The 27,148-nt window shown below is 38.9% G+C and overlaps 1 protein-coding gene and 1 long non-coding RNA gene across 51 annotated transcripts in view, besides 1 other annotated feature; both read left to right on the forward strand.

The window, feature by feature from the left end:
- TLE4 (TLE family member 4, transcriptional corepressor) overlaps positions 1-27,148 on the forward strand; it is a 154,918-nt gene that overhangs the window by 25,639 nt on the left and 102,131 nt on the right. For 40 of the 50 annotated variants that reach the window (NR_104239.2, XM_011518952.2, XM_006717264.2 and 37 more), the window contains one exon: positions 15,053-15,115. The exons of 9 other annotated variants lie outside the window; for them this stretch is intronic. Coding sequence is in view for 39 of the 41 variants with exons in the window: in XM_011518952.2 (XP_011517254.1) it covers positions 15,053-15,115 (63 nt within the window). In the remaining 2 variants the exon portion in view is untranslated. Of the gene's footprint in view, positions 1-3,811; positions 3,907-15,052; positions 15,116-27,148 lie in introns of all 50 variants that reach the window. One more of the 50 variants, NM_001282760.2, reaches the window with a different exon arrangement.
- Positions 11,567-14,239: an enhancer, noted in NCBI's record as "VISTA enhancer hs1078". NCBI's record gives its function as "enhancer in: neural tube[7/8] | hindbrain (rhombencephalon)[7/8] | midbrain (mesencephalon)[7/8] | forebrain[7/8] | cranial nerve[7/8]" and the evidence as "EXISTENCE:transgenic organism evidence [ECO:0001131][PMID:17130149]".
- On the forward strand, positions 15,122-26,131 carry LOC124902329 (uncharacterized). The gene is made up of 2 exons (XR_007061903.1): positions 15,122-15,941; positions 17,473-26,131. It is a non-coding gene; the product is annotated as an uncharacterized LOC124902329 (long non-coding RNA).

Raw genomic sequence — 27,148 nt, forward strand, 5'->3', positions numbered from 1 at the left:
CCTATCTGAGGAAATGCCACCACCATCCACCCAATTTCTCAAGCCAGAAACCCATAGAGGCAGCTGATTATTGTCCTTCCCTCTTATTCATTAGCCACACCCAGTCAAACATGAGGTCTTCTGGTATCAACTCCCAGTTACTCTTGCATTTGTTTACTTTTCTCCAGCTATATGATCATGGTAAATTAACCACTGTATGATTCTTTGGCTTTATCTGTAAAATGGGGACGAGAGTAATCCTCTTAAAATTGTTCTGAACATTAAGTGAAATATCTGGCACAGAGCAAGCGTTCCATGAATGTTAGGATGGTGAACACCCTTGGCCACCATATTTAAAAGGACTCACTGGCCTGGCGTGGTGGCTCACGCCTGTAATCCCAGCATTTTGGGAGGCTGAGGCAGGCGGATCACGAGGTCAGGAGATCGAGACTATCCTGGCTAACACGGTGAAACCCTGTCTCTACTGAAAAAGAAAAAAAAAAAAAAAAAAAAAAACTTACCCAGGCGTGGTGGCATGTGCCTGTAATCTCAGCTGCTCGGGAGGCTGAGGCAAGAGAATTGCTTGAACCCAGGGGGCGGAGGTTGCTGTGAGCTGAGATCGTGCCACTGCACTCCAGCCTGGGTGACAGAGCAAGACTCCGTCTCAAAAAAAAAAAAAAGAAAAAAAAAAAAGACTCACTACGAGTAATGCAATAGCCTCCTAACTGGTATGTCCTGGATAGTGATAATTCTGGTCCACTAGGTTCTTTTGGATCTACTTCTCCACCTTCACCTTGTGCTGATACTACCCTTTCACTTTTTTATTTGAACGTCAGTGTCCCATGCTGGTATGGCAGGCTTTGCTGGGAATGGTCTTACCCTTTTCTCTGCCCCTTTCTCCTTTGTGTGTCAGACTCATTTTACCCTCAGTTACTCAGGGAAATAGTCCTCTAAAAAGCATTTAAAAATACCCTGCATTCTGTATTTGTTTCAATGTCTGTCTCATTTGCTAGATTATGGACTCTGTAAGTCCTATCTTGTTCCTGTACTGTTTTTTTCAGACTATAATGCAGTATATGGCAGAGTAGCAGACAATAATCGAAAGTTATGAAATTAATATGGCTCACATTACTCTCTCCCCAAAGCCAGAAGGGTTTTCTTCCCCTCCTCACTCTTAGATTTCCAGGGCTCCTCTGTGTAGTAGCTAGGGCACTTAACACATGGCGTTTGTTATTGTGTTTATTTATATTTGATCTTCCCCCCCCAGATTATAAACACCTCGAGTTCAGATCAGTTTTGCATTCAGAACTGCTGTTTCTACCAGAGCTTCTAGTTTAGAGTAGGAGCCAGTAACTGAAAACATCTTGTTGAATTTCCTAAGTCTGAGGTGCTTTGGAAATTCATTTTGTTCCTATTCTGAAATTATCTTTCATCCTCCATCTTTCCTCTTGTGGTATGTTTTGTGGTTATAAATCTCTTCTTTCCGTCCACAACATTAAATATAATCAGTGCCAAGAGGAGGATGGAGGACAGAAATGCACTGTGGTGTCTTGACCTGTCTGGTACTTATCATAACTTTCCTAGGAATTGACCTTGATGGGCCCTTACTGCCTTCTAAATAAAGTTCAAACCCCTTAGTGTGGCATTCAAGACCTTCCATAGTCTGACCCCAGTGAACCTCTTCTGTCCTTATTTTCCACTCTATTTTTTATTGCATGCATCCTGTGCTCTAGCTTAATGGTTTTCAATCCTGCCTGCACATTAGATTCACCTGGGGAGCTTTAAAAACTGAAGCCAGGGTCCTGTCTTTGGAGATTGTGAGTTAATTCGTCTGGAGTGAGGCCTGGGTGTGGGTGTTTGTGAAAGGTCCACTAGTAATGCTGATGTAAGGCCAGGGCTAGAAACTACTGACAAGCTCAGTGTTTCCCACGGAATATCATCTCCTCTCCGAATTTTGACGAGAAAGGGTCCCAAAGTCAAAGAAGCTTGAGTAGTAATTGCTTTTAATGTGCTCCTTTCCAAAGATGTACAACGAACACTATCAAATGAAAGGCTCTAAGATACCCAACAGTAAAGAAAACTGTTTAACTTTCTTCATAGTGTGTGAGGTCGTCTGATAAGAGACACTTTTATGTATATAATACTTGTTAATAACATCTGCAACATGTGGTATAGAAAATGTTTTTAGCCACTTCTCAACTTTTGAGTCACTTCTTTTTTTGTCCTTCCCTGATCATGTCATCCAAATCAGACCCACCTCCTGCCCCAGGGCTCTCTCTTACACCCCCAATTTTGTCTTCATAGCACTTCTCAGTATCTGAAATTCCTCTTTATATACTTGTATGTTTGCTTCTGTCTCCCTCCACCTATGATGTGAGCTCCATGACCGCAGGGATTTACTTGTCTTGTTCACCCCTCTGTCTTCATTCAGCATCTACAATAGTCCTGACAAATAGTAAGTAGATATTTAATAAGTATTTGTTGAATGGGCAAAAATACACGGGCAGTAATGCATTCGTGGTTTAGGCTTTTTCTAAGGTGCATTTGTTTAAATATTTTAAATTGCCTACAGAATTTAATTTAAAAGCAACCTGAAGTACATTTTAAAAGTAACTAGGAATATAGGAACACAATAGTTTGCTTTACCTTTAATTTTCTCAACCTGCCTAGTCAAGTATTAAAAAAGAAGAAAACAAACAAAAGTGGATGTGAGCCTGATTATAGGGAAAATGCTGTTATTTTTCTGATTATAGAGAGTTTTCAGTTTGTGGTTGGGGACTTGTTTTTTCTGATTTCTCAGCCTGTCTCGGGTGGCTTCCCCCAGCCATTGAAGGAACTTGAGTGAGGAATCAGTGAATGGTAGTGGACTTTGTGTGCAGTACACCACCCCAACAACAAAAACACACAAAAACAGACAAGGAATTAATTTCAGTAAAAACTTCCTAATAATTAAAACCCTCCTACAGTGTGAGAGTATTCAGACAGGTTTGTCAGGGACAGTGGGGAGGCAGTTTGTGTATCAGAATCCGTATGTGGAATCCCAAGTTCGGTTGCCTGCTGCTCAACACGTGATGCTGCAGCAACTCTTGGACCTTGTTCAGAAGGGATTTGAATAGCCTGTTCTCTCTAGGGGTCCTCATGCTGCAGCTGTGCCCATGGCTCCCCAAGCCTGGCTCTAACTGTGTTGTTTTGAGCAGGGTTAATAAGCACGAACTCGTCTACACATTGTAGTGTGTATAATTCCTGAGCTCCACCACCACACCTTGAATTATCAGGAACTGACCTTTTACTTCCTGTGGACCTAGTGATGCCGTCGCATGAGTAGGCCCTTTCCTTGGGCTATTAAAATCATCAAGTTGGTTCACTCGAGATAACATTATAGAGATTTCTCATGAACGCTGTATACAAGGTGCTCTCCTAGGGTGCTTCTAACAAATCCATCAGTCCAGTGGGTCAGGTGATCAGCAATCTGGTATAAATAATCTCAAGAAGGAGGTTGAGCTGCATTTCCTTTATTATATTTTAAAATAATCTTTAAAACACATATTTTGCCAAGGTTTCAGATAGGAAGCTTTAATCATTTATTCACCCATCAGGAATTGTCCAGAATGAATTTGCATTTCCTTTTGTTGCACACTATGATAATTTATTATTCTTTTGAATAGCATGGTATCCTAAATGCCAGAAAAGATGTGTGATGGGAAACTAAATAAACCATATCAGAATTTAAGCAAGTTTTCTGGATAGATATTCCTTTATGGTTGATATATTAATGTGCTTTAGCTACAGGCATACCTTGTTTTACTGGGTCTTGCTTTATTGTGCTTCACAGAGACTGTTTTTCACAAATTGAAGGCTGTAGCAACCCTGAATGGAGCTGTTCTTCCAATAGCCTGTGCTCACTTCGTGTCTCTGTGTCACATTTTGGTAACTCTCACAATGTTTCAAACTTTCTTATTATTACTTTATCTGTTACATGATTTGTGGTTAGTGATCTTTGATGTTACTATTGTAATAGTTTTAGAGTGCCGTGAACTGTGCCCCCATCAGACAGCAAACTTAATTAATGTGTGTGTTCTGACTGCTTCATGCTATTCCCCCTTCTTTCCCTCTCCTCAGGCTTCCCCATTCTCTGAGACAACAGTATTGAAATTAGGCCAATTAATAACCCTACACGGGAGGGCCTCTAAGTGTACAAATGAGAGGAAGAGTCTCACATCTCTCACTTTAAATCAAAATCTAGAAATGATTAACCTTAGAGTGGAAGGCATGTCGAAAGCCAATGAGCCAAAAGCTAGGTGCGTTGTGCCCAACAGCCAAGTTATAAATGCAAGTAAAAAGAAGTTAAAGGAAATTAAAAGTGCTACTCCAGTGGTAAGAAAATGAAACAGCCTTATTGCTGAAATAGGGATAGTTTTAGTGGTCTGGATAGAAGCTCAAACCAGCCATAATATTCCCTTAAGCCAAAGCCTAATCCAGAGCAAAACCCCTCACTCTCTTCAATTCTATGAAGGCTGAGAGAGATGAGAAAGCTGCAGAAGAAAGGTTTGAAGCTAGCAGAGGTTGGTTCATTAAGTTTAATGAAAGAAACCATCTCCATAATGTGAAAGTACAAAGTGAAGCGGCAAGTACTGATGTGGAATCTGCAGCAAGTTATCTAGAAGATCTAGCTAAGATCATTGATGAAGGTGGCTACACCAAACAACAGATTTGCAGTGTGGATAAGACAGCCTTCTATTGGAAGAAGATGCCATCTAGGACTTTCATAGCTAGAGAAGAGATGTCAGTGACTGGCCTCAAATCTTCAAAGGACAGACAGACTCCCTTGTTATGTGACTAATGCAGCTGGTGACTTTAACTTGAAGCCAATGCTCATTTATCATTCCAAAAATCCTAGCGCCTCTAAGAATTATGCTAAATCTACCCTGCCTGTGTTCTATAAATGGAACTACAAAGCCTGGGTGACAGCACAGCTGTTTATAGCATGGTTTACTGAATATTTTAATCCCATTGTTGAGACCTACTGCTCAGAAAAAAAGATTTCTTTCAAAATATTACTGCCTATTAATGGTGTACCTAGTCACCCAAGAGCTCTGATGGAGATGTACAAGGAGATAATGTTTTCATGCCTGCTAATAATTCTGTAGCCCGTGGATCAAGGAGTAATTTCAACTTTTAAGATTTACTATTTAAGAAATACATTTTGTAAGGCTGTAGCTGCCATAGATAATGATTCTTCTGGTGAATCTGAGCAAGGTAAATTGAAAACCTTCTGGAAAGGATTAGCCATTCTAGATGCCGTTAAGAACATTTGTGGTTCATGGGAGGAGGTCAAAATACCAACATTAATAAGAATTTGGAAGAAGTTGATTCCAACCCTCATGGATGCCTTTGGAGGGGTTCAAGACCCTGAGGATGTTCTTTGGGGGTGGACCTTGAAGATGTGACTGAATTGCTGCAATCTCATGATAAAACTTGAATGGATGAGGAGTTGCTGCTTATGGATGAGCAAAGAAAGTAGTTTCTTGAGATGGAATATACTTCTGGTGAAGATGCTGTGAACACTGTTGAAATGACCACAAAGAATTTGAATATTACATCAACTTAGTTGATAAAGCAGTGGCAGAGTTTGAGAGGATTGACTCCTCTGAAATTTCAAAGAAATTCTGTGAGTAAAATGCTGTCAAACAGCATCACATACTACAGAGAAGTTCTTTGGGAAGGAAAAGACCCCCAGTGCTAACAAGCTTAATTATTGTCTGTTTTTGAGAAAATGTCATAGCCCTCCAACTTTCAGCAACCACCACCCTGATTAGCCATCAGTATTGAGCCAAAACCCTCTGTCAGCAAAAAGATCATGGCTCACTGAAAGCTCAGATAATGGTTAACATTTTCTAGCAATAAAGTATTTTTAAATTATGGTGTATTGTGTGTGTGTTTTTTTTAAGACATAATGCTACTTCACACTTAAACTATAGTACAAACATAACTTTTATGTTTGTACTATACTGTAGTACACACATGTACTGGGAAACCAAAAAATTTGTGTGACTCGCTTTATTGTAGCATTCACTTTATTGTTGTGGTCTGGAACTGAACCCACAGTATCTCTTGTGTATGCCTGTATTCCCAAACAATTGTAGCGTGCCTGCAAAAGAATTCATGAGATTCTAACCACCTAAACTGTAGTTTCTTCTATTTATTCAACAAAAGCGTATTGAGTGTCTTTGACATACCAGCCACTGGGGCTATAAGACAAAGCTATCTGCCATGGAGCCTACATTCTCTAGAACCTTACTACTAGGGGTCTGGTCTGTGGACCAGCATTTTCAGCATCACCTTAAAATTTGTTGGAAGTATAGACTCTGAGGCCCTTTTCCAATTTGGATTTTAACATTTCCAGGTGATTAGTATGTGCATTACAGTTTGAGAAGCACTAGTCTAGTCCATGTAAACAAAAATATATATGAGATAATTTCAGATGATTACAGATGCTGTCACGAGAAGACAAAACTATAATGGCCAGAGAGTGGGAGGAGGACGAGTAATTGAGGATGGTAAGTGAAAGCATCAGAGGGAGTGTCCTGTGGGCTGAGACTTAAATGATGGGTGGAGATGAGCCATGGGAAGATCTGGGGAAGGTGGTTCCAGGTAGAGGGAACAGCAAGTGCAAATGCTAGGAAGAGGGACTGTCTCCTTGTTCCTTGCTATGCCCTCTGCTCTAGCCAGGCCAGGGCCCATTTATTCACTTGCTGACTGTGCCTGCACCTGAAAGTGTGGTGGAAGTGTAATGGCAGAGTGGTATCTCAGTAAACAGGAAAAGGCCAAAACTTGGGTTTTGATAAGAGCAGCTACTCATAGTGAGAAAACAATCAAAGGGATTGTAAGGATGTTTTGGTAATGACAGCTTCAAAGAATTGGAATTTTATATAATTGGGAGGAGGGAGAAGAAACCACTAGAGGCCATATGCTGGAATTGGAAGAAGAGGAAAGAAAATACTGAGAAATGCAGGATAGATGGAGATTTCCTGAAAAACAGAGAAAAGAAGTAAACAGACAAGGAAGCTTTAGCCTCGCCTGAGAGGAAAGACCAAAAAATAGAGCATGGCTCTCTGTATAAAAGGTGGCTTGTTTCCCTGAAGGTAGGCATCCTTGATGAGAACTGAGTAAGGACGATTAGTCTGTTTTGTTTTGTTTTATTCCTGTATCCAAAATTCCTTTGTCTTTAGGTATTTCTCACATCATTTTGATCATACATATATGTTGGGAAAAATCAAGATGAATAATCTCCGTTTACTCTGGGAACAAGGAGTATCTTCTTCCCTCTACTGTGGCTAAGTATGGAAAAGCTTAATTGTAAATCAGCATTCAAAGACAACCAAACATTTATTTATGTCAGTAGGAAAGAGGAAGGTGTGTGAGAGAGAGAAGGAGGAGGAGGAAGAAGAGGAGGGGAGGGAGAGAGAAGAGAAATAAAATGTAAAGCAGGCAGCTGGCAAGGCTTGCTCTGACACACTGGCTGAGGAAAGAGCTATTGGTAGAACTTGGATGTCTTAGTAATCAGAGTAATCAGGTTCTCTGACCGGTTCCACCTTGTTCTGTGCAGGCTGAAAGTAAGCTCTCTAGAGAAAGTAATTTTCTTTCTCTGCTCCTTCTGACATCCCACTTTTCCCTCCCATCCTTCCTTTCTATTTTCCCTGCCTCTCCCCTCTGGTAGAACTGAGTATAACCGTGGTAACATTGGTTACAGTGTTTTCTAGACTTGAGAACTGAAATGATTTGACCTTGTACAAGTAACTGGATGTCTGGCACAATGATCGTCATTCTCAACCTTGATAATTTATCTCTCTCGATCACTGTTAACATTGGAGCAGTATTTAAACACAATAACTAGAGCCCAGAATATGCATGTAGGCGAATAGGCACCTATCTAGGATTTCTCTTAAAGATATACCTCTAGAGAGCTCACATGGTAGGAGGAAAAAGAGGGTGCTCTTTTTTTTCTTTAACCATTGTAAAAATGCTTCAGTAAAATATAGCTTGAGCTCTGGGGATAGACTGGAATAGTACCATGAAATGTGGGTATACCGTGATTCTCTTCAAGAAGGACTTTGTTCTGCTTATTCCCACATGAGCACCACAAACAGTAGCCCCATGTATCTTGTTAGGACAAATAAATGGGACACTTGAGAATATCCAGTTAACTGAGCCGCACATTGGGTACTTTAAAGCACACTTAACATGCAGTAAAATAGCATAAATATGAGTTCAAAACACAAACCAAGTTGACATTGCTTGTGGTATCATCATTAGTAGAATCATTGCTTTGGTTAAACTCCCTGGGGGAAGCAGTGGAAGGGAGGTATGGGGGTTGTGAAAAGAGATTCAATATTGACACTTTCACATTGTTTAAGATGATACAAATTAACTACTCTGTTATAGACAGTATCCTTTTCTCACTGGAGTAAGTAGGATGGGCAGAGCTTTTAAAAACAGCAAGTCTTAGTTTTAATCAGTCCTTTAGGAACCTGATAGATGGCCTACTAATTCGATTCTTATAATGTTATCAACTTTGTTTTATTGCTTTATTAAGCAGTAGTAGTTGTTTTTTTTTTTTTTTTTTTTTTTTTTTTTTTTTTTTTTAACAAGCACTTGAACTGAAATAAAGCTTAGGCATGTGGTTTACCAACTTGCTAGCTATACTGACGATACCTTTGGTCTAAATCTTTAAGCTTTATTCCAGTCAGGCTTTTTTTTTTTTTTAAGAATACCTAAGATTAGTGTGTGTGTGTTTTTTTTTTTTTTTTAAATACTTTTTAAGTTCTAGGGTGCATGTGCACAACGTGCAGGTTTGTTACATAGGTATATATGTGCCATGTGGTTTGCTGCAGCCATCAACTCGTCATTTACATTAGGTATTTCTCCTAATGCTATCCCTCCCCCAGTCCCCCACTCCCCAACAGGCCCTGATGTGTAATGTTCCCTGCCCTGTGTCCATGTGTTCTCATTGTTCAGTTCCCACCTATGAGTGAGAACATGTGGTGTCTGGTTTTCTGTCCTTGTGATAGTTTGCTTAGAATGATGATTTCCAGCTTCAACCATGTCTCTGCAAAGGACATGAACTCGTCTTTTTTTATGGCTGCATAGTATTCCATGGTGTATATGTACCACATTTTCTTAATCCAGTCTATCATTGATGGACATTTGGATTGGTCCCAAGTCTTTGCTACTGTGAATAGTGCTGCAGTAAACATATGTGTGCATGTGTCTTTATAGTAGCATGATTTATAATCCTTTGGGTATATACCCAGTAATGGGATCACTGGGTCAAGTGGTATTTCCAGCTCTAGATCCTTGAGGACTCGCCACACTGTCCTCCACAATGGTTGAACTAATTTACACTCCCACACAGTGTAAAAGCCTTCCTATTTCTCCACATCATCTCCAGCACCTGTTGTTTCCTGACTTTTTAATGATCCCCACTCTAACTGGTGTGAGATGGTATCTCATTGTGGTTTTGATTTGCATTTCTCTGATGACCAGTGATGAGCATTTTTTCATATGTCTGTTGACTGCATAAATGTCTTCTTTTGCGAAGTGTCTGTTCATATCCTTTGCCCACTTTTTGATGGGGTTGTTTGTTTTTTTCTTGTAAATTTGTTTAAGTTCTTTGTAGATTCTGGATATTAGCCTTTTGTCAGGTGGGTAGATTGCAAAAATTTTCTCCCATTCTGTAGGTTGCCTGTTCACTCTGATGGTAGTTTCTTTTGCCGTGTAGAAGCTCTTTAGTTTAATTAGATCCCATTTGTCAATTTTGGCTTCTGTTGCCATTGCTTTTGGTGTTTTAGTCATGAAGTCTTTGCCCATGCCAGTGTTCTGAATGGTATTGCCTAGGTTTTCTTCTGAGGTTTTTATGGTGTTAGGTCTTACACTTAAGTCTTTCATCCATCTTGAGTTAATTTTTATGTAAGGTGTAAGGAAGGGATCCAGTTTCAGCTTTCTACATATGGCTATCCAGTTTTCCCAGCACCATTTATTAAATGGGGAATCCTTTCCCCATTGCTTGTTTTTGTCAGGTTTGTCAAAGGTCAGATGGTTGGTTATAGGTGTGTGGTGTTATTTCTGAGGCCTCTGTGCTGTTCCATTGGTCTATATCTCTGTTTTGGTACCAGTACCATGCTGTTTTGGTACCAGTACCATGCTGTTTTGGTTACTGTAGCCTTGTAGTATAGTTTGAAATCAGGTAGCATGGTGCCTCCAGCTTTGTTCTTTTTGCTTAGGATTGTCTTGGCAATGCGGGCTTTTTTTTTGGTTCCATATGAACTTTAAAGTAGTTTTTTCCAATTCTGAGACTTTGCTGAAGTTGCTTATCAGCTTATGGAGATTTTGGGCTGAGACGATGGGGTTTTCTAAATATACAATCATGTCATCTGCAAACAGAGACAATTTGACTTTACCTAATTGAACACCCTTTATTTCTTTCTCTTGCCTGTTTGCCCTGGCCAGAACTTCCAACACTATGTTGAATAGGAGTTAATAGCTAAGATTAGTTTTATGTGTTACATGTTATTAACACTTTTGTAAAATTGATTTTTGATAAGGTAAAAATGGAGTTGTCAGTTTAGAGAAATAGTACTACTTGAAAATTTTTCCTTATATTTAGTCTGGATTTTAAGTTAGAATTTCTCATTAGTCCTCTGACTTTTTAATCTAGGGTCAGGCAAGATCAGTTTCAGAAGTTGTACAGTTTCTTTAGAAAATTTGGAACAAATCAAGATATTTTCTGATTGAAATTTTAAAGAATTGCAGTCTTTGTTCTCTAGTGGTGAAGTGAAGTGATAAGGTTGCAAGATTTATTTGTGTTTATTCCAAAAAGTATTTCAGGCAGGGTAAGTAGGACTTCTTTGTCACCTTTTTAAAAAATGTTGATATTAAAGTGGATGAATGTATGTTCTTGATAAACATTCAATAAAATAAATAGATTCATCTTTAAAAAAATTTTGGCAAGAAACTGCTGTACAGAAAACGAATGGTAAAAAGTTATTCTTCAGGAATGTTTCCTAAAACTGTAATTGCTTTAAGTTAGCTGCTGAAATGGTTTCCTAATAACGCTTTGTTATTCTGTTTTATTTCAACAATACATATGTAGTAATGTTGTTCCTATTTTGATGAGAGACAAACCCATCAAACAGTTTTTAAAATCAACAATTGCTTTTGATATATCCGTTTGATTACTAAAATAAAGCTATTGGTACTTTCACCCAAGTTTATTATGTTTTTAAAATAAAATTTATGTCTTTTTAAGGAAATCATATAGGCTGAAATGATCTAAATAAAAATCAGATTTTTATTGTATCAGGTCTATTTCAGGGAATGTAGTTAAATTCAGGTATAGGGTTAACTAAGTTTTTGTCTTTTAAATGATTAGTAAAATTTGTTATGTGATAAAGGAAATATGTATTTGGTATTGTGTGCGTTAGTATTTGTTACTTTTTAACCTAGTGATTGAGTTACAGCTTTCTTTTCAACACATGACATCACTTTCCCATGATGTAAGATAGATGATAAATTTTCCAATGATTCTTGAGTTTTGGAGTATGAAGAAATAAAGGATAAAAGATTCTTTTCTGTGTTTTCCTGTTTCGTTACTACCTGGTCATGCTCCTAGGCCACTGTCCATCAGTACTGTAGAGTTAGCCTGTTGACAGTCACATGTCATGTGTTGAGTGCGTAGCCAAGGGATTTTCGTAGAATGCCTTTTTTGTCTTTACATTTTTCTGAGATATTTTATCCAAACCAAGGTTTTCTTTAGCAGGGATGGTGATCATTTTTATTTTATTTATTTTTTTGTTGGAGAATGGTGTAAAGGTGGGTAATTTTGAGAGAGAGGAAATAGAATGGTAGTGAGTTGAGGGTAGGAAAATACATCTGCAACTTTTATTGTTTTTTAAATGAGCATCTTGATAGGGAAGATAGAATGGAATTGTCAAAAATTGTTAATGTGTTTGACAAAGTGTGGCTGTCAGTATGATCTTTTTGTTACATTTTGACATGAACAATTGTCCTTTTATTGGGGCTGTTAATGCTATTTTAGAATATCATGAGCATCTGAAGGCAATAGTTTAGCAGTGTCCATAAAGCATCAAATACCATTATAATATCTAGTAACCCTAACAGCAATATTTCAGAATCCCTGCCTGTTTAAATGGGCTATCTGTGAATGTACTTGCTCAGGGATGCATGACCCACATCACCTATAAATTTGATTGGAAGCTAACAGTACTGGCGTAGCCTGATGGATAGCAGATTAGAGCCCTGATTAACCATGTGATTCAAAGACTGGGAATATATTGTCTAAGCAAGATTCATCAGATGCAATCAGAATTTCAAGTGGTCAGATGAAATTCAAATGTGTGTTGTGGCTTTTCCTCCCCTATTGCTTTTCCTCCTAGGTTGCCTTTTTTTCCTTCTTTCCCCAAAGCTGAAAAATACTTCTTTGATGAATCTGCTCCTTACCCTAAAGCTGTCTGTCTGTTATTCATCAGAAAGCAGGTCGCAGTTCAGTGAGCAGAAGAAAAGATTTTAATAGAAGCTGTGCCAAGGGCTGTAATGCATCATTTTAGGGCCCTAATTACATTACAATGACAAATATCAATGGTGACAACAGCAATAACCTACATCCTTTAATGGCTGTGCTGGAAAAGGAGTTTGGGCCCCACGCCATTATATTAGACTCAGTTTCAAAACATAGGCCATTAGAAGTGTGTGTCCACAGTGTTATTGGCTGATCGCTAAAGCCCAGTGGAAAGGCCTGTAAATAAATGATGCCTCCCTAAAGCTGGGTCCTGTGGGACAAAAGAGGCGAAATTAGATGACCATGGGAGCAGCAGTGTTTCCGAGGCAACTTTAGATTTCAAAGTGAAGAATGACCTGCTTAATTTTATGAAATCACACACACACCCCACCCCCCCACTGCCAATTAGCCTGACCATGAAAATCCATTGGCATGACAACTTAAAGAAATTAAGAAGTCTTTTAAACAAAAGGAGATCTTTAACGGAAGTTTGGAAGGTTTCTGCCCTCCCGTTTCTGTTGTGTGTGTGTTAACCTATGTGATTGAATAAAAAGGCTCTTCTCCTTTTTACATTTATTTTTAAGAAAATGTAGAATTTTTTTAAAAAATAGTTGCTCAGACTTAATACAGCCTAGGTCCAAAATTTTATTTCACCAGATGAATAAGTTTCCTTAGAGTCGTTTTTATTGCCTAGATTATGTAGGCGAACTAAAGAACTCAGTTTTCTTATGTGCCCACACATTTTTCAGCCCTCCTAGCAAGGGACTATTTTATTTATGTAAACAACATAATGACGAAAATATGCTTGGCAGATGGTTCTAAGCATTAGAATCATCAGTTTGGTCTGCCCCAAAGTGTCTCATTATCTTTTATTCTCTCCCCCTCCACCTCTCCCTGCAAAAAGCTTAACAACCAAATGCATTTGAGATGCTGTACTTTCAGCCTGGTGAATGCTACTCTATTTTTATTGCTCACCCTGGAATTTCACCCCATAACCACTGTGGTATGTTCGTCCAGGTGGAGAGTGGTTTGGTGATTCCCATTGCAGCTCTTCATGGTGGCTTAAGCATTCTTAAAGGATGGCTAAATGCTCCATGGGGCCAGTGCAGTAAATTAAATCAGGTCAGCACAGTTGGGTCCTTATTCACTGCAGCTTATTGGTGCTGGGTTTTTGTCCATACTGTTAGGAATGCAGGCTGGAATGGAAAGCTTGGATTTGAAACTTCATGGTGAATTTGTGTTTTCTTTTGGCTGGTAAAGTTTTTAAGGTGCTGGCATTTAAAAGATTGCATAGCTACACAGTTAGAAGGGTTGCTGATGAAAGAAGGAAGCCTAGATTGCACAAGTAGAGTGTCACTGTCATTCTGGTAATGACTTGGCAAGAAAAGGCATTTTGGGCCTCACATAAAATGAGGAACTGACCCTGGATGGAATTTAAGAATGTCTTAGGGATAGTAATTGCTTTACATTTTCTGCCTTTCAATTCTTCTTAGCTCTCTTTCCTCCATTCCATCATTAAAATATAAACTATTTTGTATGTACGTGTATTAAAAAAAACTGTGTATTTATACATCACAAAATATACAAGGCACCATCTGAAAAATACAAATTAAGATAAACATTGGTAAAACTGTGAGTAACTTTTTAAAGAAAACATGTAGTGGTGGTTTTTCTTTTAACTTACTGTAGCATCTTATTGGTTTAAAATGTCTGTACTTATAAAAATTATTAGAGAATAGACTGTTCTTTGACATTGTTGGGACTTTTGCATATCCACAGTAAAAAAAAAAAAAAAAAAAAAAAGTTCCCAAGGATAGTTTCCAGATACATACAGATTGCTTCCTGCTAAGTGTAATAAGATTTTAGCATATCTCAACCTCTGCACACTGAAAACCTTGGTAGGACACATTTGGAAATTTTTATGGTTGAAGAAAACATTTTGTTCTCCAAGAATTTGTAAGAATCCGAATTAGCCAACTTTTTTGGGTTGTTTGGGTGCTGCTGTTTCAGAAGTTTAGGGTCTTGAGTTTAAAATCACAGCACCAATGTTTTTAAAGCAAAGGCCACAAATATAGAAATCCAATGATTTGCTAATTGATGGAGTTGAGATGTAGGAAAGAATGTATCTTTACTTATCTAAATTCTTAAGACTTAGAAGACTGCAGGTTTTATGGAAAACATTAGTATGAGCAAGGGTCCTGGTGAAGGCTGTTGAAAACTGATTTCCAGTCATGGAAATTAAATTCCATTTTATATTGCCCTGATGCTTGAAGGTTAACTTTTTAAGATGAATGCTGGTTAATAAATTGTGCTGTTAATGTGGCACTGTTGTCACTGCTTCCTTTTAATGGGCTTACTGATGAGATAGTTTTCCTCTTCCTTAGGAAATATGCCAGCCAAATTATAAAGTATGTTTTAATATCATCCTGTTAATATTTGGGGAATCTGTAACCAGCTGACTGTTCTCTTTATTGCTTTCCTTTCCCTTATTTTTTGCAGGCAGAGATTGTCAAGAGGCTGAATGCTATCTGTGCACAAGTCATTCCTTTCCTGTCCCAAGAGGTAAGGTAGTTGATTTTAGGCACTGGACTAGAAGTTGCCATTTTAGTGGTTTTGCAGAAAAGGGATTGTAGAACTGACTCTCTGGCCTTGCCAGTCTCTTGGTGTTTGTATTTTATTTTCATTTCTAAGAAACAGTGTTCTCACTCCAACTTGTATACCTTAGTAACTTTCTGTGGGATATAATTTATATGTGTTTACATAATGGAATATTTTCTAGTTGGGCTAAGCAAAATTCAGTCGTTAAAATATTTTGCTATCTTTGTCGTGTTGCTCAGAATTATGCTTGTTTGTCATAATGGTACCTAATAGGGTAGACTGAAAAATTGCCAGGAAAACAGGAGCTTACTCTGTACTATTGTCATTGGGCATTAAGAATTGGCAGAAGACATATCAAATGGAAAGACTTTTTGTAGTAAACAAACTAATGAAGCTTTTGGCTAGCTACTTTTAAACATTTACTTCTTGTTTCCTGATTAAGTCTTTATATTATTGTGCTTTTGGGAAAAGACCTGCAAGATGAACTCATTGAACTCGTTTCTCTGAGTGCCACTTTTCTCAAAATTAGGCTTTGGTGATGGTAGGCTTAGCACATTGCTAAGGCCTGGCATGCGGCTCACTAGTTCTCTTGCTCACCTACAGGGGAAGTGCATGCCATCAGCAAACAGGCACAGGTTGGAATAAAGCGATGCATTTCTAGTGCTTGTTGGCTTCCTTGTGGTTTTTTTTTCTCTCCCTGCTTACTTTTGGTAGTTACAAAGTTGAAGTGAGAATACTGGAAAAAGATAATTTTTTGCTTCTGGATTACTGAATGCCTTCATTTGCTCAGGTAAGATCCACTCTAAGAAGGAAGGAGCTAATGAAATATCTGCATGTCTTGTAGCCGCAATACTTTGTGCTGTGGGCTGAGAAGGCACAGAGGCACTTTTCTTCCTACCCTTTCAGTTGTTCTATAAGTGTGTTGTGTCACTGCTTTTCAGGAGAGAGGTTCATTCACCTGCTTGCCAGCGGGCATGTGCCAATGTTATGTGGCCAATATTTGAGCCTGCATGTGTATTATAGATATGCAGATTGCTGTATATGATTTTTTTCTTTGGTCTGGACTGGGTTAGACTTGAGTAACTATGGGTACCCTTCATAGGTATATACTGGGGAGGGGGCACTCATATTCACAAATCTTGTTGACACTCTGAATTCACATGCTCTTTTGGGTCTTGATAAACAAAGGGTATGTTGTCTTTTCTCCTCCTTTAGCTGTGACCACAAAACCTACCACCAGTCATGTCCCCATTTGCCTGTTTTTACTTAGGATTTGCTTATGGCTAGATTAGATGGCTTGGTGAATGAGAGTCAAGGGGTGTATCTGCATTTCTTTTGGAAACCTGACTGCCCCCTGCCTGATCCAGACTAGTGTGTATTTTTTACTTTAAGCAGCTCTGCTTTATGGAGATGGAGAATGGGAAGAATGTGTGACCTACAGAGCTGTAACCAGGCTGGGGTGTCATGTTCTAAGGTGACAGGGAAAAGTTCGAATTATCCCTGGGGTGGTATTAGACTTTGGGCCTCTGTAGGCACAGACCCCTGTATATGATCGCTGGTATGGCTTTGGTCTCATCACATTTCTGCAGGATCTGTGGGTTGTGTTCAGAAGTAGAAGGTTGTCTTGGGGATGTTGATGAAGCTGATTTGCCAATGAGTTGTTTTCCCACATGAATTATGTTGTTTGTGTGAGCAGGCCCAGTGGGAACAGAATGTATAATGGTAGTGGTGCTGAGCAAGACTGGACTGAAATTAATTGTCTAAGGAAGTTGTACCTGTAGGTGAAAGCCATGGGGAGATACTGACAACTCATTTGCTCTAGTCTGGGAAGAAAGGTGTCATACTTAACTGTTGTCATACCACTTAACTATTTATTTCCCAAATACTTTGACATTTCTTGGTTGAAATCCTTGACTCACGTATAATGATTTATGCCAAGCTTGTGCAACCCCAGGGCCTGTGGGCCACATGTGGCCCAGGATAGCTTTGAAAGTGGCCCAACACAAATTTTAAACTTTCTTAAAACAGTATGAGATTTTTCTTTGCAATTTTTTTTAAGCTCATCAGTTATCGTTAGTGTATTTTATGTGTAGCCCACATAAAATGGGATGTGTGTGTGATTTCTTCTTCCAGTGTGGCCCAGGGAAGCCAAAAGATTGGACACCCGTGATCTATGCCATGGTTTTCTAAATGCTAGTTCTGTGTATATATTTTCTTTTGCTTACTTTAGATTTAATTTACTCATCTTTTTCTAGTTTCCTAAGGTATGTGTGTATCTTTTATTGTGTGAGACACAAACATGTTTGTTTCCTTCAAATCAGGGCATCTCTGATGTTTTTTATCTGAACATCGTCCACCTTGTTTCTTCTTCTGTGCATTCTGTGAGCATTGGACTCCTTGCTTCTGCCCTGAAGCCAGATGGACCATAATCTGGAGGGAGGGGAGGAGCAGGTTAGTAGAGGAAGATGAATTCTGTTTCCTGTCTCTTCAGAGGCATGGAAAATCACTCTTGCATGGCTGTGAGCATCACTGTGCCAGGACTGAAGGCTCTTAATCTGATCTTTTAACACCGGCTCTCTGTGTGACAGTCTCGCTACCAAAACGGCAGCTGCTGCATTAGAATTTATTTTAAAATGTTTTTATTTAAAAATTAAATGATCGTATTTAGGAAAAAGCAAAACAATTCCTGAAGAGTAGTGCATAAGCTAACAGAACATTGGCTGGAGCGATTGTGAGCATCTGAAGTCAGGCTTTTTGGAGTTTGACAGGAACAAGGGGTATATTTACATACTGTTAGATGAAGTCTCTTTTTAATTTAGCCCCCATGTGTTGATTAATATACCTGCTTAATATTGCTTGCGTCTGGTTTACCGCATTTTTTTAAACTTAAAAAAACTATATAGTACTGAATGATAACTATTAAATTTAGCTTTAACTTCAAGACTTTTTCTTTTTAGAAATGAGTTGTATAATTGTGTTCAGAAGTACTTGAAGTGTGTCTGTATATGAAAATCACAGAAAAATATTTTCCTATTAGAGTTTACTAAAACATTTAAAAATATTAAAGCCAATATATACTTTAATAATGTGCTGTTGCACTCACGTACAACTGCTTCCAGCGTTACAGGCATTTGACAAAGATATTGCCAACTCTTGTCATTAAAAGTGAGTACTCATCACTTGGAGTTCATAGAATTTCACAGGATTCTCAATATCAGAATTTAGAAAAACCTTGTGAACCCTCATCTGTCCCAAGCTGTTCTTTTCTCTCACTTCACTTTTTAGCTTTTAGGAATGGATAAGACTCAAATTTATTCTTCAAAAAGCCATCTCAAGGTGGTAAACGGGAAGCTCTTTTCTTTCCCTATTTCGGTCTCATTTGCAGGGGAAGAACTATAAATATCAACTCTGAGTTGGCAGTTCCATAAACAAGAGATGCCAGGATGATGACAGTTGGATCTGGGTCCTGGCCTCCCTATTACAAATCGTGTGGTTTACTCTAACTGGGCTAAGCTGGGTGACCTTTAGCAAGTGATGTGCCTCTCTAAGCCTCAGTTTCCTCATCTGTATGATGAAGTTAATCATAGCGTGAAACACATCCAATGTCTGTGAAGATTACTTGGGATTATACCCAGGTAGCTTAGCACACAATAAGCACCTACTGCCGTTGACTAGTGGGATTAACTACAGTAGCAGCAGTGGAGCTCTGTCTCCTCTTGGGAGGAGCTAGAACCAGCCCTCCCTCCCTTTTCTAATCATTGCATTTGGGAAGAATGTGAATTGATTATCTTCCTCTCTAATGTCCTTATAGAAGAAAAAATGAAAATTAAAAGTGAACCCAGGGCCTTGAACTAGCTAAAAATCTATGTTTTTGTTTCCATTGGCAATTTTGGGATATGGCTTATAGACCCTTAGACCTCAGTGGGTCCTTAGTAAAACTGAGGATTGCCAATAAATATTGTATTGCTTCCAGTATCCCAGTAACAACTCCTCCTCCATCCCCCAATTCCAGGAACATATCTATGTAGAGAGTCTAAGGTGGACCTAAAACTCTACATCACTGTTACACCCTGGCAGTAAGGGACAGCATTTCTGCTAATTTAGAATTGGGCTAGCTCTCCCTCTTCACTAGCTTTGCATTGCAAAGTTGATCTCTCTAAGCCTTAGTATTCCTGTAGAATAAGGAGAGTAAGCCCACCTTTACAATGTGTATTATATGTATCAAAATGTAACAGACTTGGCATAGGGAGTGCCGTTTCCCCACCTGCTCTTTTCCTATTTTACTTCCAGGGAAATAGATTCTATTTCAGGTTATTTGGGGTCCTAAGACATTTGGAAAGGAATGACTTAGTAAAAACTGGGAAGAGTTCAAGGTAATATTTCAAACGAGCTGGCTGGCAGTCTTCCTGCAGAGTTAGCTAGGCCTTGCAGCTCCAGTAGCTGCTTCCAACGATGGACATTTAGCTCCACACAGGTTATCTTTCAGGAGGAAGGGAATTTTTTTTTTTTTAAGTAAACCAGTAGGTATTTTTCTTAACCTGTTAGATTAAGCAGGAAATATTGTGCACTTAGTTGAGGACCTGTTGGAGGATAGTTGTGTTTTTTGTACTCTTGTTTCCCTATAAGGATCACTTTTAAGATAGGGTATGTTTCACAGTGATCCACAAGGTGTTCCTAAGATCTTTGAGAACCTCAAACTCTTGAAAAGCAGTAGGTCAGTAGGTGAAAAGTTTATTACGTTATAGTTGAAAATTATTCTCCAGGGTACAGTTGTATTTTTCAGAAACTTGTCGCTTCAGTAACAAGGAGCACATTCATTGGAAGAGGCACATTAGGCAAGAGGCAATGTAATAAAAGCTGGAGGTCAGCCAGACCCAGGACTAAATCTTGGCTCAGCCACTTGCTTTCTTTAAAATGTGGAGCAAAATACTTAACTTTTCTGGGCTGCAGTTTGCTTATCGGTATAATGGGATACCTGTACTGTAGGATTTTTATATGAGGATTCGTGACAGTGTAAAAGGACCTCACTGAATGTTTGGCTGCTTTAACAGAGATCAAAGGAACAGTGGTTTTTTCAAGGAAAAAAAAAAAAAAGCTTGTTTCTCTCTCATGTAATAGTAACAGTTGACAGCGAAGCCATCTATAGCTAATTTGGTGACTCCATGATGTTGTGAATTCGGTTCCTTTTATATCGACGTTCATCATCCTTGCACCATTGTGTCTTGCCCCAGCGTCAGCTGGCAGGAAAGAGAAAGGAATGGGCAAGTTATTTCCTTTTAAGGTTGCCCTCTTTGCAGTGGCCAGCACTTAGTTACCTGCCCACAGATAGTTGTAAGGGAGATACAGAAATGTAGTCTTAGCTGAGTGACCATTATGCCCCCCTAAAACTTACACCAGTGTAAGAGAAGGGATACTGGGGGACAACTGCCACTTGCTTCCAGACATAATGCTATGCACAAAATAAAAATTATGGCTATTGTTACTGCTAATGGTTTATCTTTACATAACAAACTCTAGCTTTGACTATGTAATTAGCACATCTCATGTTTTTCAGTTACATAAGATATAAAATAATGCATAGTTCTTGTTATAGAAGTCTCTTCCTTACCATTCGAATGTTGGAGAAGAGTCACCCATCAGGTATTATTTATCATTCATACATTCATAGGGGATGGAAAAGAACCTACATGAACAGTATGGCCTCTGTGGGCTGTCTATATTTGTGTTTCTTATGACCAGTGGCTTCCTAATTCTCATTTATTAAACTCATGGTCATTGTTACCTTTAGAGAAATGGCATTCATTTTTAACCTTGTTATTAGCAGACTTGTTTCTAGTCACTGGGTGCCAAGGAGGATGGACATTTTCCTCCTTCTACACTCCTGTAATTCCATGACTGTTTTTTTTGGTGGTGGTGGTTGTTTTTTGAGTCGAAACAGAAGCCGAGCTGCTCAGAGGCTGATGGAGGAGCCCTGCAGGCTAGTCCTCACAGCAATGATGAGGAGCACACCTGGGGGCCTGCACTTGCACATGAACGGAGCTGTTTTTCCCTTGCATCAGTTATTTTAAGAAAATATTGGTTTAACAAATGAAATAAAGAAGACGTTATTCTTTTTACAATATTTAACAATAGTTCTCTGATCATTAGAATATTGAGAATATAAAAGGGAAATTAGGACCTAAAAATGGAAACCTTCCATTTTTATACTTATTTTACCTGGGGAAAAGGGAACTTCCATACCAACCTGAATGCTTTCTGGTGCAAATTTAATTTTAACTTAAAACTTGGTTTGTATTGCCCTGTTAGCTTTTCTAACACGTAGTACCAAGTAGTGTTTGGGCACTCTCCATTGCATTTATTTGGTAGAAAATAATAGTCAATTACATAATAGTGATAATATGAGTTTATTTGAATTATAAATCCAACAGGCTAGAAAAGCTAGTCACATCAAACGATACATAAACTCCTGTTTTGGACATGCCATAAATTTGGTCCATGTAATTTGATGGAAAACAAACCCCTTCTACTACATTGTGATATATGAGTATATCTCAGATGCTGTTTACTTGGGCATCTCGGTTAATATGGTACTGAATTACTTGGAGCCACATTTTGCATGTATAGAATAATTGTGAAATGAAAGTTGAAAAATGTGATCAGTCACTTTCATATTGTGCCTTCGGGAGGAAATGAAGAAAATACAGTGGTTATATGCACTGGTGGAAGTGTTATCGCCTTACAGTCGTGCCAGGTTAACTTGTCTTATTGCTTGTTAACTTTGCGAGGAATCAATGGCTTGTGATAACAGGTTTGATATAGGAGAGCATGGTTAAAATTGCAGAGATCCCCTGGCAAGTATGCAGTGACATCCCTAAGACCATCTTCAGAAAGTGCTTGTGTTAAGTGCCAGCAGCCTGCACAGGGCACGTCTGCTTCCCAGTTGGAGCCATTTTGTCAGTCTTGGTAATATGTTATGACAGTGCCATATATCGGAAGAATGTCCTAAAATGAATAATAGACATGGATTGGGGCTTCTGGGGATTTGGCCCAGTTTTCTGATTTTCACATTAGGTTGTGGGCATGGGTAACTTTTCATTTAAAAAATATATATTTTCTCATAATACTGAATGAGCCATCAGAGAGCGTAATTCTGTCCCATATTCCGTGGTTGACTGATTGGCTTGCTGTACCTGACCATGTATTTTGGTGACAGTTGGCTGCTTGGTGAGATTCATCTGGTGGCATCATGGCCTGTTTGACCTCAAGAAGTGAAAGATGATTCTCAGGAGGTAGAACTTTTTTCCTGTGGTTTAAATGTGGGTCTCTATCCAAAGGCAGCAATGCCAACCTTTATCTGTATGTCTCAACAAATTAATGAGTGTTTGAGAACTGACTCATTTATTTGACTTTTAGTTAGGTAGTGATTAGATTATTATTAGTGGAGCTAAGTTTGAAGGTACCTTGAGTAGAGCTGCATTGTCCAATACAGTAGTAGCTATGTAAAGTTGAATAAAATTAAAAGTTCAGTTTCTTAGTTACTCTAGCTACATTTCAAGTGCTCAGTATCCACTCATATGTGGCTAGTGGCTGTCATATTATTAGCACAGATACAGAACATTTCCAACATTGCCCAAAGTTCTGTTGGACAGCAGTGAATTTGTAGAGCTTACCTATCCGTGAAGAATGCCCTGTCCCCATGTAAGTGAGAGTGGAGAAGGCAAGGCCAGGTAGGCAGTCAGTAATGTGCTCCTAAGAGCTTTAATCCCATGTTCCACAGCTAAAATTGTTTGGGAAGCCAGGTATACTTATTTACTCTCTCTAAGCTTTGTGGTGCTGAGATAACCTGCAGTTTACCGGGTATTTGCCAAATTAAACCTGTGTTTGTGTACGTGTATGTATGTGTCTAAGTAATATCTAAAGTAATATCTAATTTCTTGGGTGACTGTGTTGGGCTGTTCTTGCATTGCTATAAAGAAATACCTGAGACTGGGTAATTTATAAAGAAAAGGCTTTATTGGCTCATGGTTCTGTAGGCTGCACAAGCATGGCACCAACATTACTTGGCTTCTGGGGAGGACTCAGGGAGCTTTTTTTACTCATGATGGAAGGCGAAGTGGTGAAAGCAGAAAAGGAGAGAGAGATTGAGGGGGAGGTGTCATACACTTTTTAAGGGCCAGATATTGTGAGAACTCACTCTCTGTTGCGAAGACAACATCAGGCCATGAAGGATTCACCCCCATGACCCAGACACCTCCCACCAGGCCCCACCTCCAGCATTGGGAATTACAATTCAATGTGAGATTGGAGTTGGGACAAATATGCAAACTGTATCAGATTAATGTTTCTTTGAATACTGTATAGGAAAGGCTGATTTGGGGAGATTGGGTTAAATTTAAGTTGATTTGTACTAGCAAATTTAATAGAGTTGCTGAAAAAGGCTTTTAGTGGGATTTTTTATCCTGACTTAGCAGACATGGAGCGACACTTTCACTTGAATTTGATCTGCTTGGCCATACCTGGAGTAATGTGCACTACAAGGAGACTAGCCAGAAGGATGGATGAGTGGGCTAGAGCCCATGACACAGAGAAATTGTTGAGTGACCTTAGGATGGTTAACCTAGAAGAGATAAAATTGAGAACATGCATTATGCATTGTCATATACTTGGAGTGTCAGTCAATGGAGGAGAATTTAAAGACAAAACTGGGTCCAGTGGGGAAGAATTAATGGCAGGGTAGATTTCAACTTAGTATTAGGGCTCATTATCCCAAAATGGAAAAAGCTTGTCCATGAGGTAGTGAATTGCCTTTCACAGGAGGTGATCAAGGAGAGACTGGTTAGGGTGTGACAGAGGAGATTGATTCATTGGATAGAGTAGTGGCCTTTGGGCTGTGGTTGGTACTGTAGTTCCGCCATCCCAATCTGCTCAGCCCCGGCAGTGTTTAGAAATTTGCGTGCTTTTGGTGATAGGGAGAGTCTTTTGTTGATTGGTTGGTTGGTTGATTGTTAATAGTGCCTGGGGTACTCTGGCATCTGGGTCTCATGGTCTCTAAAGGCCTTTTCCAGTTCTGAATTTCTATGAGTGGCTTCTTAAGTACATGTGGCTAATGGCTTCTATTAGCCAAAAGGGCATTTGGTCCAAGTTCGGGCCTAAGTATCTTTCACCCTAGAATATTGCAGCCCTCTAACTGTTTACCCTTCAATCTGGTTTACCTCTCTGCCATCCACCTTCTTTACTTTTCCCAGATCCATCTTACTCAAATGCAGAACTGATAGCACATAGCTGCTTAAAATTTTTTAATAACATCTCATTTCCTACCAGGATAAAGTCCAACTTTTTTGCATGTCATGCAAAGCCCTTTGCTGTTTGGCCTCCTCCTGTCTTGCCAGAATTCATTTCCCACTAATACTTGGTTCTTTAAAGCATTTCCATGCTACACTCATGTCTTCATCCATTTTCCTTTATTTTTCTTTGTGTGCACACCCTTTCCACTTTAAAGTGTTCTTGCTTATGTGTCTTATCATACCCAAGAAGGCCCTATGAAATTCTACTCTGCTTGTCTGCAGCTGTGTCCCCTACCTGCTCTCCCTCTTCCAGCCACACAGACATTCTTGCTCTTCCTATAAGGCCCCTACCCAGTTCTCTTCCCTTTGCCTGGAATTCTTTTATCCTCATTCTTCATCTACAGAATTCCTGGAAATCCTTCAGGTCTCAGTTGTCAGGTCAGCTTCCTAAGGGAATCTTCCCCTAGCCCCAATATTAGATTAAGATATTTCCCTGATAAATGATTGGGTAGCATCCTGTAATTTTTCTTATGGAAATTATCCTCCAGTTGTAATTATAGAGCCTTTTGAGCATTAATTCACTGACTGTTTTCCTTGATAGAGTTTAAATTCTATGAGATCAAAGACTATGGTTCTTGTTCCTTACTCTAACCTTAGTATCTCCCTACCACAGTGCCTGGTGCCATAGTAGGTGCTTAATAAATATTTGAATGAATGGATGAAAAAAACAAAGCCTTCCCAGATGCCGCGGGAAGTGCGCTGGCCATTTCCTCCTAAAACTTCTTTCTGTTTTATATCCTGTATTCCTCTAAGATGTGCTCTGTGTATGAGTTCATCACGTGAGAAGCAGGGCCATTGGTCTTACTTTCACCTCTCCACATGTTGGAGACTTTAATTAATATTGTTCATTATGAGAATCCTAGTTTATTTTGTTTCATTTTATATCTATCTCTACCCTTATACTCTTTTACTACCCCAGTCAATATGGGGAGTACTTTTTAAATGTTTTTTTAAAATTTTAATTTATAAAATTTTGAAGCATACTTTAGAGAGAGAATATACTGAACCTACAGGTACCCATACTAAACATCGGCAGTAATCAGCATTTTGTCTTTTTGTCTCATTTATTCCTTAGGGGAGTTCTTTTGTTTTTGTTTTATTATTATTTTTTTTTAATTCTGAGGTGTACTATAGCTTTTTATTACGGTTTTTTATTAGAAGTACTGCATCTGTTGCTGTGCCCTAAAACATTGGCATGACAGGTATTCTCATCATAATACCTTCTGAGAAATATATATTAAACACCTACTATACACATATTACTGGTTTGTTAAGGTCTGCTTTTTAGCAGGCTTTTTTGGACTTATGAGCTGGTATTATTTTAGTTTCTTATAGAAAAAATATATTAGTACTTTGTCTGAACAAATGCCAGAAATAATTTTATGATGATGGAAGTAAGGCAAGTGATTTAATGTACAGAATTTCATTTTACTGGCCCTTTCCCCTGCAACCATGTTTGTATTGCTTAAATCACTTTTTTAAAAAAATTATTTTTACTGAGGTATAATTTACACACCATAAAATTCCCTAGTTTTAAGTGTATGGTTCAATACTTTTCAGTAACTTTACAGAGTCGTATAACCATCACCACAATCTAAGGGTTTTTTTTTTTTTTTTTTAGAATTTTTTTAAAATTGTAAAGTACAGCATTTTAAAGAATAAATAATTGGGCATTTGTTTTGTCTCTTCAAAATCCCAGTTAGAGGTCCCCTCTCTTACCCTTGGCTTACTAATATATTCTTAGTGGCATTTCATTTGGTGGTACTGGTGGCGCATTCAAACAGGACACTTGTATCTGAGTGAGCAGCTGGAGCAGTAAGAATGACAACACTTGGTCTCTGCAGATTGGCTGGACCCACCACTCTGGTGCTAGTGCTGGCTTGGTGGCTGAGGGAACAAGCAGGAAGTAGAAGAGGAAATGAGATGTGGGTGGAGTGGGAAGAGAGGACAGATTGGGGAGGGGAGGGAAAGTGGAAGACAAGGCAGACATAATGGGAAAGCCCTCATAGTTCTAAGAAGATGTGAAAAACTTGCTGTTTTTTTCTGAGTGAGAGCTTACTTGTTAAAACCCGAAAATGGAAAAAAAAAAAAAAAAAGCCTCCTGGGTCAGTTTATGGGAGTACTTTGGGCTTCCTTGCATGTTCATTTTTCTCTTTTGTGTGTAATCTTTTGACCCTTCTTCCTGTTTGGGTTTTAATTTTCTCACCTTCCCTGGTGGGTGCTTCCTCAGGCTGTGGCGTAATGTTACATGGTGTGGCTGAGTGAGCTAATATATTAGGGTGTTTCTGGTGCTTTCAGAGCACACAGGGGAGGAGGCATTGTTTGCCTTAGGGAGCTTCTATTCAAAAGGTCCTTAAACAGTGAATGATTCATGGGTTGTAAGCAGAAATAGGGAAGTAGAATTCTGAACTGCAGGTAAAGTTCAGATATCAGCCCACAGCCATTGCCATCAAAAAGAAGAAGCTGAATCATGACTTCCATTGTCATTTTAGCTTTATAGCAGGAGTTTCTTTAGGCTGTCAGAGTTATGGCTCACTGGTGTGCGTTTCCGGTTTTCTGAAAAAATGCACTTGATTTTAATGCCAGTGCGGAAAGATATCCCCTGCTGCCTAAGGCATCTTTGCCCATTTTAGCAATTGGAATCTAGTTCATG

This window comes from Homo sapiens, chromosome 9 (genome assembly GCF_000001405.40).
Source record: "Homo sapiens chromosome 9, GRCh38.p14 Primary Assembly".
NCBI classification, from domain to species: domain Eukaryota; kingdom Metazoa; phylum Chordata; class Mammalia; order Primates; family Hominidae; genus Homo; species Homo sapiens.